General features: G+C 39.1%; 2 annotated features.

Moving 5' to 3' along the window:
- Positions 254 to 754: an enhancer, noted in NCBI's record as "H3K4me1 hESC enhancer chr14:86829973-86830473 (GRCh37/hg19 assembly coordinates)". NCBI's record gives its function as "activates a minimal SCP1, AML or CMV promoter by ChIP-STARR-seq in primed H9 embryonic stem cells {active_cell/tissue: H9 hESC(primed)}" and the evidence as "EXISTENCE:reporter gene assay evidence [ECO:0000049][PMID:30033119]".
- Positions 15,478 to 15,713: a silencer, noted in NCBI's record as "fragment chr14:86845197-86845432 (GRCh37/hg19 assembly coordinates)". NCBI's record gives its function as "represses an EF-1alpha promoter that drives an FKBP-Casp9 reporter gene in an ReSE screen in K562 erythroleukemia cells {active_cell/tissue: K562}" and the evidence as "EXISTENCE:reporter gene assay evidence [ECO:0000049][PMID:32094911]".

Here is an 18,991-nt window from a genome sequence, read left to right on the forward strand (position 1 = left end):
AATTTGGGTGGGGACACAGCCAAACCATATCACTTAGTAAGGGTTGCGGTAATGATAGCAGTGGTGGCCCATCTGGAGCAGCCGCTGCCATGACACCAGCTGCACTGGCAAAGGTGCAGCTGGGGCTGCACAATCCAAAAAGCCAGCAGGACCTAGGACCAGGTGGAAGCCCCGCCCCTACTGAAGTGGGGAGCCTTGCACTCCCCAGGTGCAGCAGCAGCTGCACAGCCATGGCTGTGAACCTGGGCATCCCTGTGCTCTTGGGGGTGAGGAGTGGGCAGGAGCCCCTCCCTCCCAGGCATAGCTGCAGCTGTCCAAGCCACAACTGCAGACCCTGGCATCACTGCACTCTCAGGGGTCTGGGAAACACACACCCCTGACCCCTGCAGGCTTAGAAGTGTCTTGCTCCTTCTTCCTGGCCTCTCCTTCTCCCAGCTCCTGCTTCAATCTCAGAGCAGAGTTAAGATTGAGCCCAGGTGCTGTTGCAACCTAGCTGAGCGTGTACATGCTTGGGGCAATGCTGACATGCCAGCCCTGCTGTCTCAGTCTGCTCCAGACTTTGGGCACTGAGCAGTACAGGAGGAAGGTCAAGGCAGGGCTGAGGACAGTTTGGTGCTGGCCTGCAAGTGCTCCTCAGCATGAATAGCCTGGGCACCATGAACAGTGGCAAGAGGCAGACAGGCTCCTGGGCAGAAAAGGGCAGGTCTCTTGTGAAGCCCCACCTTCAAGGACTGAAACCTGGGGGCTGGGTTGCCACTACCACAAACTGGAATGGAAACTTAGGGTGATTTTTCCAGGCCCACCCATGGCCACCGATGGACCAATCAGCACATATTTCCTCTCCTCTGAAGCTCATAAAAACCCTGAACTCAGCCAGACTCAAAAAGAGACGACCAAGACAACCAGCTGCAGAGAGGAGCTACCCAATCCAGCATCTCCTCTCTGCTGAGAGCTGAGCAGATGTTGGGACCACCGGCTGTGGAGAGGAGCTATGTACTCCAAGGTCTCCTCTCTTCTGAGAGCTGAACACTCATCAGGACACTCTGCCTGCAGAGAGGAGCTGCCCAATGTAGGTCTCCTCTGAGCTGTTCTGTTGCTCAGTAAAGTTTCTCTTTGCCTTGCTCACCCTTCACTTGTCTGCATACCTCATTATTCCTGGAAACAGGACAAGAATTTGGGACCCACTGAATGGCAGGGCTAAAAGAGCTATAACACAAACAGGGCTGAAACATGCTCCTTGTTCATCATGTTGTGGGTGACAAGAAGGAGAGAAGGAAAAAGGAGAGAAGAGCTGAAGCCCTTTGGGGAGCCCAGACCTAGGAGCTCCCCAAGCCAGGGTTGTAACACCCTCTTTGGGGCTCTGTGGTTCCTGGCATCACTGTGTTCCCTGATGCCAGCCGTGGAAGCTGCTTGTGGTATGCCCGGTCCAGCCACAGCCTCACAGGGAGCCAGCACCTGGGCCAGTGCCTGGAGCTTCCTGTCCTCCCACAGCCAGTGTGCCTGGCTGTGTGCAATGGCCAGACCCCACACTCACTTTTCACACACCCCTCACCACTCTGCTCACCCCTGACAGGTATGGGATCCAGGCCAGTAGCATGAGCCAAACATAGACCGCCAGGTTGAGTGGGCGGAACAAGCACAGCAGACCTGAGCAAAACTTAAGTAAAGGCACCACTGGCCACGGGGGTTTCCATCTGGAAAAGCCTCACCCCAAGGATCCTAGAACAGTAACAATAATGATGACCAACTGCTAGATATTGCTAAAAAAATAATAAATAAAAATAAATAAAAATGAAAACCTCAAAACAAAACAGTCAGGTGCAGTGGTTCATGCATGTAATCCCAGCACTTTTGGAGAACGAGGCAGGAGGATAGCTTGAATCTGGGAGTTCAACACCAGCCTAGGTATCAAAGTGAGATCTGATCCCTACAGACAATAAAAATTAAAAAAGAAAATTCATCCTGCATGGTGGCATACATCTGTAGTCCCAGTTATTTGGCAGGATGAGAGGATGAGGCCAGAGGATTACTTGAGCCCAGGAGGGTGAGGTTGCAATGAGCTATGATCATACAACTTGAACTCCAGCCTAGGTGACAAAGCAAGACCCCGTCTCTTAAAAAAAAATACATCTATTCTGAGTTTTGTGTTTTATGTCAAGTGACCTAACATCCAACTCCTTAAGTGTTGACATGGTGGAAGACGATGTGTTTTGGCATCACTTCCAAATCTGCCATTACTGTAGCCTTAAAGCATCTTGGCCTTGGGCTCCTTATCTTTAAAATGGAATACAATTCACTAGACCTAGTAGACTTTCTAGGATTGCTATGAAGTGAAAACGAATCAAAAAAGAGTCATCCTATACACACACAAACTCACAAAACTCATTAAAGGCAAAAGTTGGTCTTTGGCAGTCTGTTGCGATGGCTCATGTCTGTAATCCCAGTGCTTTGCGAAGCTGAAGCAAGAGGAATGCTTGAGACCAGGAGTTTGTGACCAGCCTGAGCAACCTAGGGAGACCCTGTCTCTACAAAAAGATAGAATAAAATAACCAGGCATGGTGCTATGTGCCTGTAGTCCCCGCTACTTGGGAGGCTGAGGCATTAGGATCACTTGAACCGAGGACATTGAGGCTGCAGTGAGCGAAGTTCATGCCACTGCACTCTAGCCTGAGTGACAGAGCAAGATCCTGTCTCAAAAGAAAAAAAAAGTTGGTCTTGGTGATATAAAAGAAAGATTAACATGGTAAGGCAAGAAATCTTTTTACTTCTTTGTGTTCCCAGAATTATTAATATTACATGGAGGCTTAGGGAAAGAACTTGATAATGTGTGTTGACTTATACAAAATTATTGAAAGTAAAGTAATTTTGGATGCTTTCAGCTTCAAGAGAGGAAGGAAGAAAAGAAATAATAAAGGAAAGAGGAAGGAAGGAGGAAGGAAGGAAGGGAGAAAGAAAGGGAGGAAGGAAGGAGGGAAGGAAGGAAGGGAAGAAGGGAGGGAGGGAGGGGGGAAGAAGAAAAGAGCAAGACAAGTAGGGAAGAAAAAATAAAGGAGGAAAGAAATTAAAACAACTTACACTTAACTTGTGTTAGCTTACATAACAAAAAGCTGAAAGTAGGCCTATCCAACTGAAGATAAACATAAATAGATTTGAGGAAATGGAAGAAAGATGAGTATTTCAGAAAACAGAAGGTCTTGAGTGCTGCTAAGAATGATAGTATCATGGACACAGATGAGAAGTTTGGGAGAGGAGGAAATTTTTTTGATCAATACATTATCTTTGATACTTCTATGTTCAATAAATAATTCTGATATACATTAAGTTTTAAAAGCAGTGCTTGAGAATATTTTTTCACGGAGCAGGAGTGAGAAGCACTTGTACTGGGCTGGCAGTGCCAAATGCCCCTTATCACCCCCGAGAATATTTTTTCACAAGAGTAACACTACATCTTTGAACTCTGGTTTTTCATAATGTGTTCATAAAGTGTTCATTTTTCCCTCAAAGCAAACAAATTAAGGTGTGCTTCCTTTGTAAAATAAATTATAAAACTTGGTTCATCTATCATGCTATCTTGTACAGTTCTTATTATCTAGTGCAACCAAGTGTCAATAGTACAGACATATTGAATGTTCTTAATGATGCCCTGAGGCTCAGCCGTATTGACAACCACATCTCTAACCACCAGCTAATAAACTGATCATGATTTAATTAAATTTGTATATTAAGGATGAATGGCCCTCTTTGCTATTGGGAAGGTACTTTCATTTACTCAACAGGCAATATTTAGAGACTATGATGCACTGGAGCTCAAAGACAAATTAAGTAAGACTATTTACATACAGAGTACAGACCTACAGACCAGGAAACAAGAATACACAATCCACCATACTAAGTACTTTAATTGAGATGCATATGTGATCCTTTGGCAGTGGATTCAGTCTTCACAGTAAACTTGCACTAGGTTAATTCAGAAAGTTTAAGTGATTTGTCAAATTGCCATTAGTTTATAAGAGGGAGAACAGTGTTTAAGTCTCAATCTATTACTATGAAGTCTCTATTTTTCTCAATAACCTCTGATTATTTGAAAATTAAGAATCAATCCATGCATAATACAGGTAGTACAAGTATTATTATTATTGTTATTTTAGATACAGGGTCTCGCTCTGCCAGAGTGCAGAGACAAGAACATGGCTTACTGCAGACTCGACCTCCTGGGCTTAAGCAATCCTCCTACTCAGCCTCCCAAGTAGCTGGGACTCCAAGCATGAGCCATCACATCTGACTTATTTTTTATTTTTTTGTAGAGGCTATGTCTTGCTATGTTGCCAAGCCTGGTCTGGAAATCCTGTGCTCAAGTGATCCTTATGCCTCAGCCTTCCAAAGTGCGGTGGTTATAGGTATGAGCCACTGTGCCTGGCCACTGCATGGATTTTTAGAAGTGTCTCATATACCAACTCAAATTCCCTAATCCACCCCTTCAGTTGCGGTCTGTATATTGATACACATATGTTGTTCACTTAACTAGTCAGGGTTATCTAGAGAAACAGAAGCAATTATATATATTATATATAATTATGAAATATATTTATATTATATATCATATATAAATATATGTTATACACTAAAGAGAGAGAAAGAAAGAGGAGATTTATTATGGAAATGGACTCATACAACTCTAGAGGCCTGAAAATCTCACAATCTGCCATCTGTCAGCTTGAGAATCAGGAAAGCCTGTAGTGTAATTCAGTCAGAGTTTAAAATCCTGAGACCCTGGGGTCGGGGCGGGGGCAACATAGGAGTGGGGGTGAGGTAGGCAGCTCTGGTGTAAGCCCCAGCATCCAAAGACCTGAGAATCAGGAACTCCAATGTCTAAGTGGAAGAGAAGACAAATTTCCCAGCTCAAGGAGAAAGAAAATTAGCTCTTCTTTTTTTGTTCTTGTTCTGTCCAGGGTCTCAACAGATTGGTTAATACCCATAACAGCGACCATGAATCTTCCTTATTCATTCTACTAATTCAATTAATTATCTCTTCTGGAAACACCCTCACAGACACACACCTAAAGTTTTACCAGCTACTTGGGTATCCCCAAACCTAGTCATGTAGACACATAAAATTAACCATCACCTCCAACAAACCTCAAACCCACCTATGGTACCAGGGTGCCTATCTTCAAAAGGACTCCCCGTCAGCCACATAGGGGCAATATCCAGCCTCTTCCATGAACAAGTAGGCCTTGTTCTAGGCCCGAATCAATCTGGATTTCTCCCCTCCCATTTCTGGTTTTGTGTTCTGTCATTCCCCTATACATACAAATTGGTCTGTCTCCTTCTCAGGGACCAGCTCTGCCAATCAAGGGGGAATTCAAACTGCTTGTTCTAGTTCATAAAACCTTTCATTACACCTTTTCCCCACAGCAACTGATGCTAGTAAGCTTTAGATTTTCTTAATTAAGCAGACCATGGGGAAGCAATTTATTAATGTTTCTTGGAAGTAAAGGCCTGCCCCAAGGTGACATGTAGTCACCAACCCTAGACTGAGTTTTGCAAAATTTAATGCTCCATCTCCAGTAAGCATGTTTTATCTCCATGAGAATAGGAAAACTGGATGTTCCTCCTTGCTGGAAATGGGTTTTTAAACACAAAACCATTTCAATCTCAAACCAATTAACACACCAGAGCCAGTTTTTGGCACGAATGAGACAATAATAACTGTGCTGATAGCCAGATTGAAACGCACATATATTGCTACTAAGAGCTGCCCCAAGACTGCATGAAGAGAGTGCTATACAGAGAAAGCAGTTTTGCAACAATTTCTTACTGATGGAGGGTTAGCTTTCCACCACTCTCACTTTGCCAGCTATCAATTCCTTTTCCAATCACGTATAAATTTTTGTGCTTCTTTCTCATCTTTACCTACTCCCATTTCTTGCCTCCATTCACATTACATATATTTTAGTATCCAGTTTGACACATTGGCTACTTAGCACTATAAAATTGTTTTGGGGTAGAATCTACATTAAAAAAGAACTTTCAATAATGTCATCTTCCAAGGGATTAGAAAACTAATATTTGCAGATAGATACATTCATTTGATGCTGAAATGCTAAAGAATACTGACATGCATTTTAGTACATACATCTAATAGTAATAAAAATCATAATTTAATCTTTATAGTCCTTATTTTATTTATTTTTCTGAAAAGGAATCCTATTTGTCTATCGCTTGACTCTCTACAAAAAACAATTATTATTGAGTTGAAAATTATTTCTTTTAATTTTTACAAAGTTTCAATAATAAAAATTCTGGCAGTATATTTATTTCTTTTTTATATGTACTAAGAGGAAATTACAAGTTGTATTACCTATGGCATCAAATTATCTTAATATTTTCTGTAGATGGTAATTTCCAGTTACTTAGGTCAGCAGCATGGGTAAGTGTGGGGAGGCTGCACTGACAATTGTGCATCTAGAAAGAAATGCTGGGGGTTTATAATATGTAATGTGAAAAAGGGAAAAGGAGACGGACACGAGGGAAAGATACACAACATATGCGTGTAGTTTAGTATGCCCCCAGCTTCTCTTTTTCTAAGATTTACATTTCTCCTATCCATTCTTATTATTGCCACAGAAGCAGCCATATTACAACCTAATCTTTTTTTCCTGAGCAGAGTTGATTGGTTTTCCAGGAAGACACATGGCTCAAACTTGGCTGATAATAAGATTATTCTAGCCACCAACAATACTGAGCTACCTGAAATGGCTGATTCAGTGGTAGGAACCAATCCCCAGTTGAACCAGCGGGACTCTTTCCCAAGGTTTCTGCCCTTGAACCCAACAGAGCTGGGGAACTAATTCCTTGGGTACTGAAAGAGTGATCCATAGCCATACTTCCTACTTCATAACCAGCATTGAAGATGTTCTACAGGGGAAGGGGCCACATAGGGAGATATGTGAAAAGGAGCAGGGGAAAGATGAAAGAAAATCTCTAAAATTGTTCGAATTATTGGATTAATTGATTTCTGAATCCAAGAGTTCCCCTTAATATGTTTCTCCTTCTTAAGCCAGTCTTTTTTTTTTTTTTTTGAGACAGGGTTTCACTTTATCACCCAGGCTGGTGTACAGTGGCATGATCTCGGCTCACTGCAACCTTCACCTCCTGGGCTCAAGTAATCCTCCTGCCTCAGCCTCCCAAGTTACTGACACTACAGGCGTGTACCACTATGCTCAGCTAATTTTTGTATTTTTAGTGGAGATGGGGTTTCATCATGTTGCCCATGGCTGGTCTGGAACTCTTGAGCTGAAGAGATCCACCTGTTTTGGCCTCCCAAAGTGCTGGGATTAAAGGCATGAGCCACTATGCCCGGCCTTAAGCCAGTTTTGATTGAGTAGCTGTCACCTTGACCAAACACATGTTAACTATTTTGTACTATACAGAAGAGTCAATAAACTGTGTCAGAAGTGCAGCAAGGTACACCGGCCATCATGACTTTGCAGATGTGCAGGTCAGGTAATAATCTAATACTTGAGAACAGAACACTGTGGTTATCTTGAAAGTCTCATGGATCAGGGACCCACCCCAAATTGTGTGGCACTGCTGTTCTGCTGCAGCTTCATCCTCAGCCATTTCTCTGGACCATAGCCAGTTCTCCAAACTGCAGAATACCCTCTTTGGAAGAATGAGGAAATGGTGCTCAGATTACATCAGATGTCCACTTTATTAAAAAAATAATATAAAGGACAATAACACAGGAGGCAGACTGAATAATACCAGGTTGGGATGGGTGACATTTTGTACCCAAAAGAGCTGGGTGCTCTATCATTCTATATACATAATCTGTCTCAGTAACCTGCATCATCTTTCCTCTCCCTTCCCTTACCCAGACCAGGTTAGCATTCTTTCCCATCCTGTATATTGGTAGTTAGAAAAAAAAAATGGAAAGATAAAATGAGTAGGGATATGAGATTTTCTAAATTTAAGTGAATCAACTTTCTAGATCTATGGACTTCAGACATGAGCTTAAGACAGACAAAGTATATGCAAGGCCTTACTTTTATTGTGCCTAATTAGGGATAGAATTAGCTTATCACTGTCAGCTAACTTAAACTCTTGAGTATGAGCTTTTCAATGACAATACTTCATATAACATACTTGAATGTGTATGATTATATGTGTGTATATGTGTGACTTGTTTTATTACCAGTTTATGGGCTTTTAAAAAAGATGTCTGGTGACATGGTTTGGCTTTGTGTCTCCACCCAAATCTCACCTTGAATTGTAATAATCCCCACATGTCAAGGTAAGGACCAGGTGGAGATAACTGAATCATGGATGTGGTTACCTCCATGCTGTTCTTGTGATAGTGAGTGAGTTCTCAGGAGATCTGATGGTTTAAAAATGTGTTTCTCCCTTCACTCTACAGTTCTCTCTCCTGCCATCATGTGAAGAAGGGTGTGTTTGCTTCCACTTGCAGCATGATTGTAAGTTTCCTGAGGCCTCCCCAGCCATGAAGAACTGTGAGTCAATTAAACCTCTTTTCTTTATAAATTACCCAGCCTTACATATTTATTCATAGCAGTGTGAAAACAGGCAAATACAAAAAATTGGCACTGGGTACTGGGCCACTGCTGTAAAGATACACAAAAATCTGGAAGCAACTTTGGAACTGAGTAACAGGAAGAGGTTGAAACAGTTTGGAGGGCTCAGAAGAAGACAGAAAGATGTGAAAAAGTTTGGAACTTTCTAAAGATTTATTGAACGGCTTTGACCAAAAAGCTGACAGTGATATGGACAATGAAGTGCAGGCTGAGGTAGTCTCAAGTGGAAATGAGGAACTTGTTGAGAACTGGAATAAAGGTGACTCTTGACCCTTGCTATACTTTAGCAAATAGACTGGAAGCAATTTGCCCCTGCCCTAGAGATCTGTGGAACTATGAACTTGAGAGAGATGATTTAGGGCAACTGATGGAAGCAATTTCTAAGCAGCAAAGTGTTCAAGAGAAAGCGGATTATAAGAGTTTGGAAAATTTTCAGCCTACCGATGCAGTAGAAAAACAGAACCCATTTTTTTGGGGAGAAATTCAAGCTGGCTGCAGAAATTTACATAAGTAACTAGGAGCTGAATGTTAATCACCAAGAGAATGGGGAAAATGCCTGCAAGCCATGTCAGAGACCTTCATGGCAGCCCCTGTCATAACAGGCACAGAGGCCTAGGAGGAAAAAATGGTTTCACTTCCCAGGGTCCCCCCTGCTCTATGCAGCCTTGGGACATGGTGCCCTGTGTATCAGCTGTTTCAGCTCCAGCTGTGGCTCAAGTGGCCAAAGTAAAGCTCAGGCCATTGTTTCAGAGGGTGCAAGCCCCACACCTTGGTGGCTTACACATGGTGTTGGGCCTGTGGGTGCACAGAAGTCAAGAACTGAGGTTTGGGACCTCTGCCTAGATTTCAGAGGATGTATGGAAACACTTCTATGTCCAAGCAGAAGTTTGCTGCAGAGGCAGACCCCTCATGGAGAAACTGTGCTAGGGCAGTGCAGGAGGGAAATGTGGGGTTGGAGTCCCTACACAGAGTCCACACTGGGGCACTGCCTAGTGAAGCTGTGAGAAGAGGGCTACCGTCTTCCAGACCTAAGAATGGTAGATCCCCCGACAGCTTGCACTGTGTGCCTGGAAAAGCTGCAGGCACTCAATGCCAGCCTGTGAAAGCAGCTTGGAGAGGGGCTATACCTTGCAAAGCCACAGGTGTGTAGCAGTCCAAACTGCTGGGAGCCCACCTCTTGCATCAGTGTGACCTGGATGTGAAAGCTGGAGTCAAAGGAGGTCATTTTGGAGCTTTAAGGTTTAATGACTGCCCTACTGGATTTCAGACTTGTGTGGGGGCTGTAGACCCTTTGTTTTGGACAATTCCTCCCATTTGGAATGGGTGTATTTACTCAATGCCTGTACTGTCATTGTATTAAGGAAGTAACTAATTTGCTTCCAATTTTACAAACTCATAGGTGGAAGGAAATTTTCTATTCTCAAATGAGACTTTGGACTTGGACTTTTGGGTTAATGCTGGAATTAGCTAAGACATTAGGGGACTGTTGGAAGGGCATGATTATGTTTTGAAATGTGAGCACATGAGATATGGGGGGGGTCAAGGGTGGAATGATATGGTTTTGCTGTGTCCCCACTAAAATATCACCTTGAATTGTAATAATCTGCATGTATCAAAGGCAGAACCAGGTGGAGATGATTGAATTATAGGGAGGTTCCACACATGCTCTTCTCATGATAGTGAGTGAGTTCTCACGAGATCTGATGGTTTTATAAGGGGCTTCCTCCTTCACTCTGCACTCATTCTCTCTCCTGCCACCCTGTAAAGAGGTGCCTTCCACCATGATTGTAAGATTCCTGAGGCCTCCCCAGGCATACTGAACTGTGAGTCAATTAAACCTCTTTCCTTTATAATTACCCAGTCTTGGGTATTTCTTCATACCAGCATGAGAATGGACTAATACATCTGGTAACTGACTTCAGATTAAAAGTATTCATAAAAACTCCTAAATTTAGTCTTTTTCTTATTTTTTTTTCTTGTTACTCTGAATTGGAGGGATTCCTTCCTGGGTAGAAATAAGTGTTTTTATGTCTTGTTAGTAATCATCTGAGGGCAGAAATCCTGTGTTTACATTCGCTTGCTGTTTCCCTTCAGGTAATTACTTCTTAGAATTCCTGCCAAACTGGTTCAACTCCAGGTCTCTTAAACAAAAGTCAAGGGGACTGAATAATAAACAGTCATCATAGGACCCTGATATTCATGATACAATTTGACCTTTACTCATGAACTTTTTTGTGATTCTGAACCACTTTGTCTGAAGTCCAGAATGAGATTATTACATAAATGACAGAGTAATTTGGCAAGTACCCATATGAAATAGGAAGAATAAGATGTGAAGAGAAGGGCTAGGTGTTAAGAGATTTGGAGAGGAAGCACGAATCTTTAGTATAGATGTGACATATAAGATGAGCTGGGATTTCGGGAGGAAGGATGAATTGAGAATCTTGAGTATAGATATGAAATAGAAGATGACTGGTTGACCATCATGTAGGACATAGGGCCTGCAGCAGGAAGGAGGAATGCCTGTGGACTGCAACCGCTCATGGGAAAAGTCATGTGAAAGAGTGGATCAAGGTGGTACCCCACAAAAAGCTGACCAAGGTGGATGAGTTTGCATTCATTAGAATACAACTTGCTCAAAGAGGCAAGAATGGGTTAATTTGAAAGAATAAAATCTATCTAAAATTCAGCACCTCCTGGACACAGTGCAATTGGCTCCCCCTGGCACATTAGGGCAATGTGCAAGATGCTGGTGTTGGCAGGAAATAGATTCTCAGTTAGGCAAATGCATCCCCTTCCTGCCACCAGCACTGCTAATGCTCTGGTTTGTGGCTGAGATTATGGAAATAGCCTCCTAAAAACTCCGCAGGCTACTCCTCTTACCTCTTCACAATATATCTGCCACATGTGAGCCCAAGAGATCCCTTCAATTTGTTAAGTTACATTCCATCACTCCTCTGCTCAACAACCTCAAATTGTTCTCATTAGTGAAAGCCAAAGTTCTTACAGTTTATAAAGTTCTCTCTGTTCTCCTTCTCCCACTCCCTACTGTTCTGACCTTGTCTATTTTCACCTTCCCTGTGTTCATTTCTCTCCAGCCACAGGTGACTCCTCCCTATTTTCCAAACATGTTAGGCATACATCCTTCTTGGGGCCTTTGCACCTGTTGCTCCATCTCCTGGCAGGCTGTTTTTCAGAAGGTCATACCTGGATCCCCACACCTCTCCAAGACTTTGGTAAAGTGTAAGCTTTTCAGAGAGGACTTCAGAGCTTGCTCTGTAAAGTGGCAGTCCTTGTGGGCACTGGAAATCTTTCTCCAATTATAATTTTCTGTATAGCTCATATGGAAGTTGAGGCACATGTGTTGGCATTTATTTATAGATTTTGTTTATCCTCTATCTCCTGATGCTTGAACACAGACTTTGCCTGTTTTATTCACTTTTTCATAGCACCTAATAGCATCTGTCATATAATATCCTCTCAATATATATTTGTGGAAGGAATGATTCATAGGGATGAGCCCTCCCTTCAATACACAGATATGCCAACAATTACAATTACTATTATATTTCTTAGGTGTATATAAATATATACATATATTTTGGGTATATACATATTTATATATATTTTATAAATATATATATATATATATATATATATTTTATAAATATATATATATATTTATATACACCTAAAAGGTATATACCCTAAAGGATATACCATAAAATAAATCAAGATATATATATATATATATACCCTAAAATAAATCATTCTGTATATATTTCTTATATATAGCATATACATATCTTGATTTCTTAAATATATTACATATATATAGAGATAGATGATAGATTTATTTTAGGGTATAAATATATATATATTCCCATAAACATATATTTATATATATAAATATATATATTCCCATAAACATATATTTATATATATAAATATATATATTCCCATAAATATATATTTATATATAAATATATATATTCCCATAAACATATATTTATATATATAAATATATATATTCCCATAAACATATGTGCATTTTTGTGTATATATATATATATATATATATCTCCCATATGTTTATGTATATATGTTAATTATGCTTATTATAACAGGAAAAAAAAGGTAACAGAAAGAATAAAATGAAAAAAAAGAAAAGAGAAGTATCACTGGTAGAGATACCAAAATACTTCAAAGGAAAAAAGTTTCAAAGGATATTTCAAAAATAATTTAAAATATTCTAAAGAATTACCAAAGAAAAGTCACTGTTTTTATAAGTGCTGAGTCACTGGTCACATGTAAGAGAAAATTTTTAATTTTGAGGAGATTGGAAAGAACACAAGAAAGGGTTTAAAAGTTAAATGGACCCAGGGAAGAAAGACAGGACTTCTTGAAGAAATAGATGATTCCAGGTCCAAGACAGGAAATGTACCTGGTACATCTTATCAGATCATAAATTAAGCATGTTATCAAAAAGTACTTGAGAGTCAATTTGAAGAAGACATCCTTGGCAAAAGAAGAGACAATTTGAACATTAATAAGAACAATAAATGTTATGGAATGAAAGAAATGAAATATGATTATATACTCGAATTCATAATGACAACAAAATGAGAAAAAGAAATCATTCATCACTGGGAAATACTACAAAACATGCTCATTATTTTCAAACTGGTAATAAAAAAACAAGCATTTATATTGCTGTTTTGATACTATCTATACAATTGATAGACTAAACATTAGATGAAGGGAGTTTTCTCCTTATAGATGTTTTTATCTGATAAAGAAGATATCATAAAATTAGAAATAATCATTTTGCAACTTTTGTATGAACTATTAAATCTTGGCACTGATCATCAACTACTGTTAATATAAAAATGAGAGACAGTTGGGCATTGTGTGCTTCCTAACAGCAAAACCTTCAACTGAAGCAGTCTTGACAAAAGAAGAAACAAAATAGATTCTCATCAAGCCTCTATAAACAGCTACCAATTCACAGAGGAACATATTACTCTGCAGCAGAGGAATATAATCAACAATATATAGAGCACAGAAAATGTACAAGGCAAACAACCCAGTATCTTCAATAAATAAACCACAAGAAAGACAGAAACTAGGCAGAGCTTATGAGAGAGACTTAAGGAAACATCAAACAATTATATGTGTGGATTTCACATAGATTGATGAAAAAAAACTTATACTCATGAGACAATTAGATATTTGAATTTTGAGTGGTTATTTGATATTAAGACATTATTTTTGACTTCAGTAAAGTTTCAGGATACAAAATCAATGTATAAAAATCAGTAGTATTTCTACACACTAATAATGTTCAAGCTGAGAGCCAAATCAACAACACATCCTATTTAAAATAGCAACAAAAATATAATAAAATAAAATACCCAAGGGAACATCTAACTCAGGAGGTGAAAGAACTCTACAAAGAGAACTACAAAACACCACTAAAAGAAATCATAGATGACATGAACAGATGTAAAAACATTCCATGTTCATGGACTGGAGGAGTCAATATCATAAAAATGACCATACTGCCCAAAGCAACCTACGGATTCAATGCTATTTCTATCAAACTACCAATATTATTTTTCAAAGAATTATAAAACCCTTTCTAAAATTCACATTGAACCAATAAAGAGCCTAAATAGCCAAAGCAATCCCAAACAAAAAGAACAAAGCTGGAGGAATCACATCACCTGACTTCAAACTATACTACTAGGTTACTGTAACCAAGACAGCATGGTACACATACAAAATCAGTCAAACAGACCAATGGAACAGAAGAGAAAACTCAGAAATAAAGCTGCACATCTATAGCCATCTCATCTTCAACAAAGTCGATAAAAATAAGCAATGGGGAAGGCACTCCCTAGTCAATAAATGATGCTGTGATAATTGGCTAGCCATATGCAGAAGAATGAAAGTAGATCCCCTACCTGTTACCACATCCAAACATTACTCAAGATAGATTAAAGATTTAAATGTGAAACCTCAAACTATAACACTATTGAAAGATAATCTTGGAAACTCTATATTAGACTTCAGCTTTAGGAAAGGATTTATGACTAAGTCCTCAGAAGCAATTGAACAAAACAAAAATTGACAAGTGAGACCTAATTAAATTAAAGAGCTTCCACACAGCCAACTAACTATTAATAAACAGACAATCTACAGATTTGGAGAAAATATTCACAAACTATGCATCCAACAAAGATCTAATATCCAGAATGTATAAGTTCCTTAAACAACTCAACAAGCAAAAACCAAATCACCCCGTTAAAAAATGAGCAAAACCATGAACAGATACTTCTCAACAGAAGGTATACTAGCAGCCAACAATCATATGAAAAAATATTCAACATTACTAATCATAAGAAAAATGCAAATCAAAACCATAGTGAGATACCATCTCACACCAGTCAGAATGGCTATTAATAAAAAGTCAAAAGATAACAGATTCTGGCAAGGCTGTGGAGAAAAAGAAGAAGTTACACACTGTTGGTGGGAATGTAAATTAGTTTAGCCGCTGTGGAAAGCAGTTTGGAAATTTCTTAAATAAAAGAGAACTACCTTTCAACCTTGCAATCCTTTTATGCGGTATACATCCAAAAGGAAACAGATTGTTCTACCAAAAAAAATTCACACTGTCATGTTCTTTGCAGCACCATTCACAGGAACAAAGATGTGAAATCAACCTAAGAGCCCATCAATGGTGGATTGGATAAAGGAAATGTGGTATATATATATACCATGGAATACTACACAGCCGTAAACAAGAACTAAATCATGTTCTTTGCAGCAACATGGATGCAGCTGGAGGCCATTATCCTATGTGAATTAACACAGGAACAGAAAACCAAATACCATGTTCTCACTTAGAAATGGGATCCAAACATCAGGTACTCGTGGACATAAAAATGGCAACAATAGAAACTGGAGACTACTAGAGGTGGGGCGAGAGGAAGGGGCAAGGGTTGAAAAACTGTGGGGTATTACGCTCAGTACCTGGGTGATGGGATCATTTGTACTTCAAATTTCAGCATTTTGCAATATACCCATGTAAGAAACCTGCACACGTATCCCTTGAATCTAAAATAAAACTTGAAACAAAATAAAATAAAAAATAAAAATAGAAAAAAATACATTATTGCTAATTTATCTTAGGTGTGATTAAAACAAATGTTTTCCCATTTTCTTGAAATTCTGGTCGAAATTATATGATATCTGATATTTTCTTCACTATTCAGGTCCTCTACCTTCCCTCAAAATTCTTCTATAACAACTAACACTTTGAGTTTAGCTTGTGTTTGTCAGAAGCAGGGCCTGGGATGAAGTAGATGACTTGTTTGTAACTTATCTATTACAGAAGCGATCTTAGGGAGTCCCATAAGGGTGTGGAAGGAGAAAAGAGAGGGAAAGGCAAGATTAGTAAAAGTGCAAAACTCTTAAAAATAAGAAAACATATTTAATTACATTTGTAAGCTTTCTTCCTTTATCCAACTAGATTTCAACATCCTTGAGACAGCAAGAATAGATACCTACTCATTTATTATAATCATGGAATTTTGTTTATAGGAGATGCTCAGTAGTGTTTGTTAAGTGTGTGCATATATTTAATTGAAATTTTTGTTTAATTTGATAGTTCTTTTCCTTCAAAATATAGCTTGTCTTTTTTTACCCATGTAGCATTAGTATAGGAGAGGCCTTTATAATTTTCCATTGAAATTACTGAAAAATTCACTTAACCTAATATCCTTAAAACTATATGACCCACAATTAATCTTCTTTCTTCATTGTCACTTTCAAACTAAAATAGATTTAGTAAAACCTCAAAGAGAATTCAAAACTCCTTAACTGGATATTTATACTCCTCTGAAATCAGGGAAGAAGTGTCATTTCCTACCTTCATTTCTCAGTATTTCTGTATTGAAAGTACCTTTTCAATCAAACAAATTTATACACTATTTCTTGACTATACCTCAGTTTCTTCCACTTTTATTTGCTTCTTCAATGAAAATTAAATAAGAAAGTGTATAGCATGTGATGGGATTTTATCAACATTAAGATAGTTTAGGTTTAAAAGTTTTCTATTTCTATGCCTTCAAAATGTGAATTACATGCTGAGTCTCTGCCTACTACCTACTGAGAGATTTTGTTGCTGTTGCAACTGTTCATCAAGCTATTGAGCAGAGTGAAAGAATATTGTGAAATTCATTGAATGAACTTCTGTTATACATATGATAGTCAACCTCATGTGCATATTCTCAAGCGTTCAGAAATAGTTGTTTCTATTGGATTTCTCCCACTGTGTCATTTTATTGGTCAGTTTCCACAAGCCCCACATACGCTTCCTCAACACCTCCATCTGTAGAGATGTTTATCGCGTGTTAAAAAGAACATCACTATTCACACACTGAGGTCTTCTACTTTCTCTCAAAATCTCTCTCTAGTAATTAACCCTTTGTGCTTAGTTTGTGTTTGCCAGAAGTGGAGCCTGAGATGAGCACTGTGTGCAAGTGATTTACTGAGCAAGAACTCTCTGCAGAGACCCATAAGGGTGTGGAATGAAGGGAGTAAAGAAGCCAAGGGAGATAAAGTCTCAGCCTCAGCCAGTTTCTTCAGGGGAGCCTAGGAGTGGTACTTCAGAGAGTTTTTCAACTGGAGACATGGGAAACACTCAAAGAGTCTGAAAATAGGAGACCTGTGGGAATACTGAGGAGGCAGTCAGCTTGGTTGTCACAGAGATAGAGCGGGGTGAAGAGTACCACCTCTGAAGTCAGAGGCCTGAAGATTAAATTTTAAATCCTGGCTCCTCTGCCTTAGCATTCTGATCTGGAAAAGGGGAAAAAAATAGCACCCACCTCATAGAATTATAATAAGGATTAAGTGAAACAGTACATACAAATCATTTAGAACAAATGTTAGGATTGATTGGTAATGGATGCATTAATTAATAGATGTCCTGAAGCACTAGATCTGTTGTTAAAGATCCACAAAAGTCAGGAATAAATATAGCTCTGAGCAGGTAAATGATGATTATAAAAGAGTCAGTAGGGATTCAAGCTATAAGGTGGGGATTGTCTTAGGTCATCTCCCCAGGCTGCTGACTCTGAGATGATGATTTGCATGCATTGGGAAACGCTTATGGGAACAGCACCTAAGAAGTTGGAAAGAAGTAGAAATGGGATCTCTAGGAATACTTGGGAGGCAACACAGGGCCCCATTTTCAGGGAAAATGAACACAAAATTGGGACAGACTCAAAGTGCTGCTTGATCACGAGGGGGCTGAATCCCATGATTGATTGAATCAAAATGGTGTTTGATGTCAAGAACAAAACAAGATTCAAATGACTATAAGCAAAGTATGATATAACAGAGGAAACAAGAAGATTCATTTGATGATATATACTGTGAATCATCTCATTTAATTCTCACAACAACCCTATACAAATGACTAATATTATCCTTTTTTTAGCGATGAAAAACCATATATGAAGTTTAAGTGATGTGTCCAAGTTAACACATCTACTAAGTGGAACAGTTGTGACTAAACCCAGGTCTGTCTTACTCCTGGGCTTGAGTTCTTAACTTCAATGTCAAAATTTAGTTTTAAACCTTTGTCTACAAGAGAGTCATCATCAGGCACTTGACCATTAAAGCTCATGAGCATATGGCTTGTTGATGGAACATATCAAGTCTGAAGACTTCCTCCTGTCACCAAAAAAAGAAGTCACAATATGCTGAAGTTAGAATGTTGTTCCAAGCATTAAGTGTATTTATTAGTGGAAATACAGAACCAGTGCACAATCACCAAAAAGTTTTTGTCCTATCTGTGCCAAAACTCAGCATCCAATATAACTCACAGTTACAATGCTGAGTTTCATATGAAACTACTTTATATTGCTTTTCCTTTTTGGAATCTACTTTCATCCTACTTACCTAGATTCCAAAAAGGAAAAACAACATGTAGCAGGGAGCTGATCAAATACATTAGTCTAAAGCATAAAAACAAAGAAGTATGACTATAACAGGATTTGTTTTTTTTTCATTTTGATCACTATTAATGCGTCAGCAAGCATGAGACCATTTCCATTCAGCTACTGTATCAATGCCAATTCAGGAACAGAATCAGAATAATTGGCTCAATATGCCTCTAGTCACTTGTTTATCTAAGAGTAAAATAATGAGCGACATGTTGGCAAATTAGGTGAAAATGAATCCTGCTCAGAATCAAATAAAAATGCAATACATCCAACAGGATTTTTGTATTGAACTTCACCCCCTGCCCTAATTAACTGACTGGAATGACTTTCTAAATATTATCTTATTCAGCCTTTTGAAAGATAGGATGTTCCACTTAATGGGAA

Source organism: Homo sapiens, chromosome 14, assembly GCF_000001405.40.
Source record: "Homo sapiens chromosome 14, GRCh38.p14 Primary Assembly".
Taxonomy (NCBI): Eukaryota; Metazoa; Chordata; class Mammalia; order Primates; family Hominidae; genus Homo; species Homo sapiens.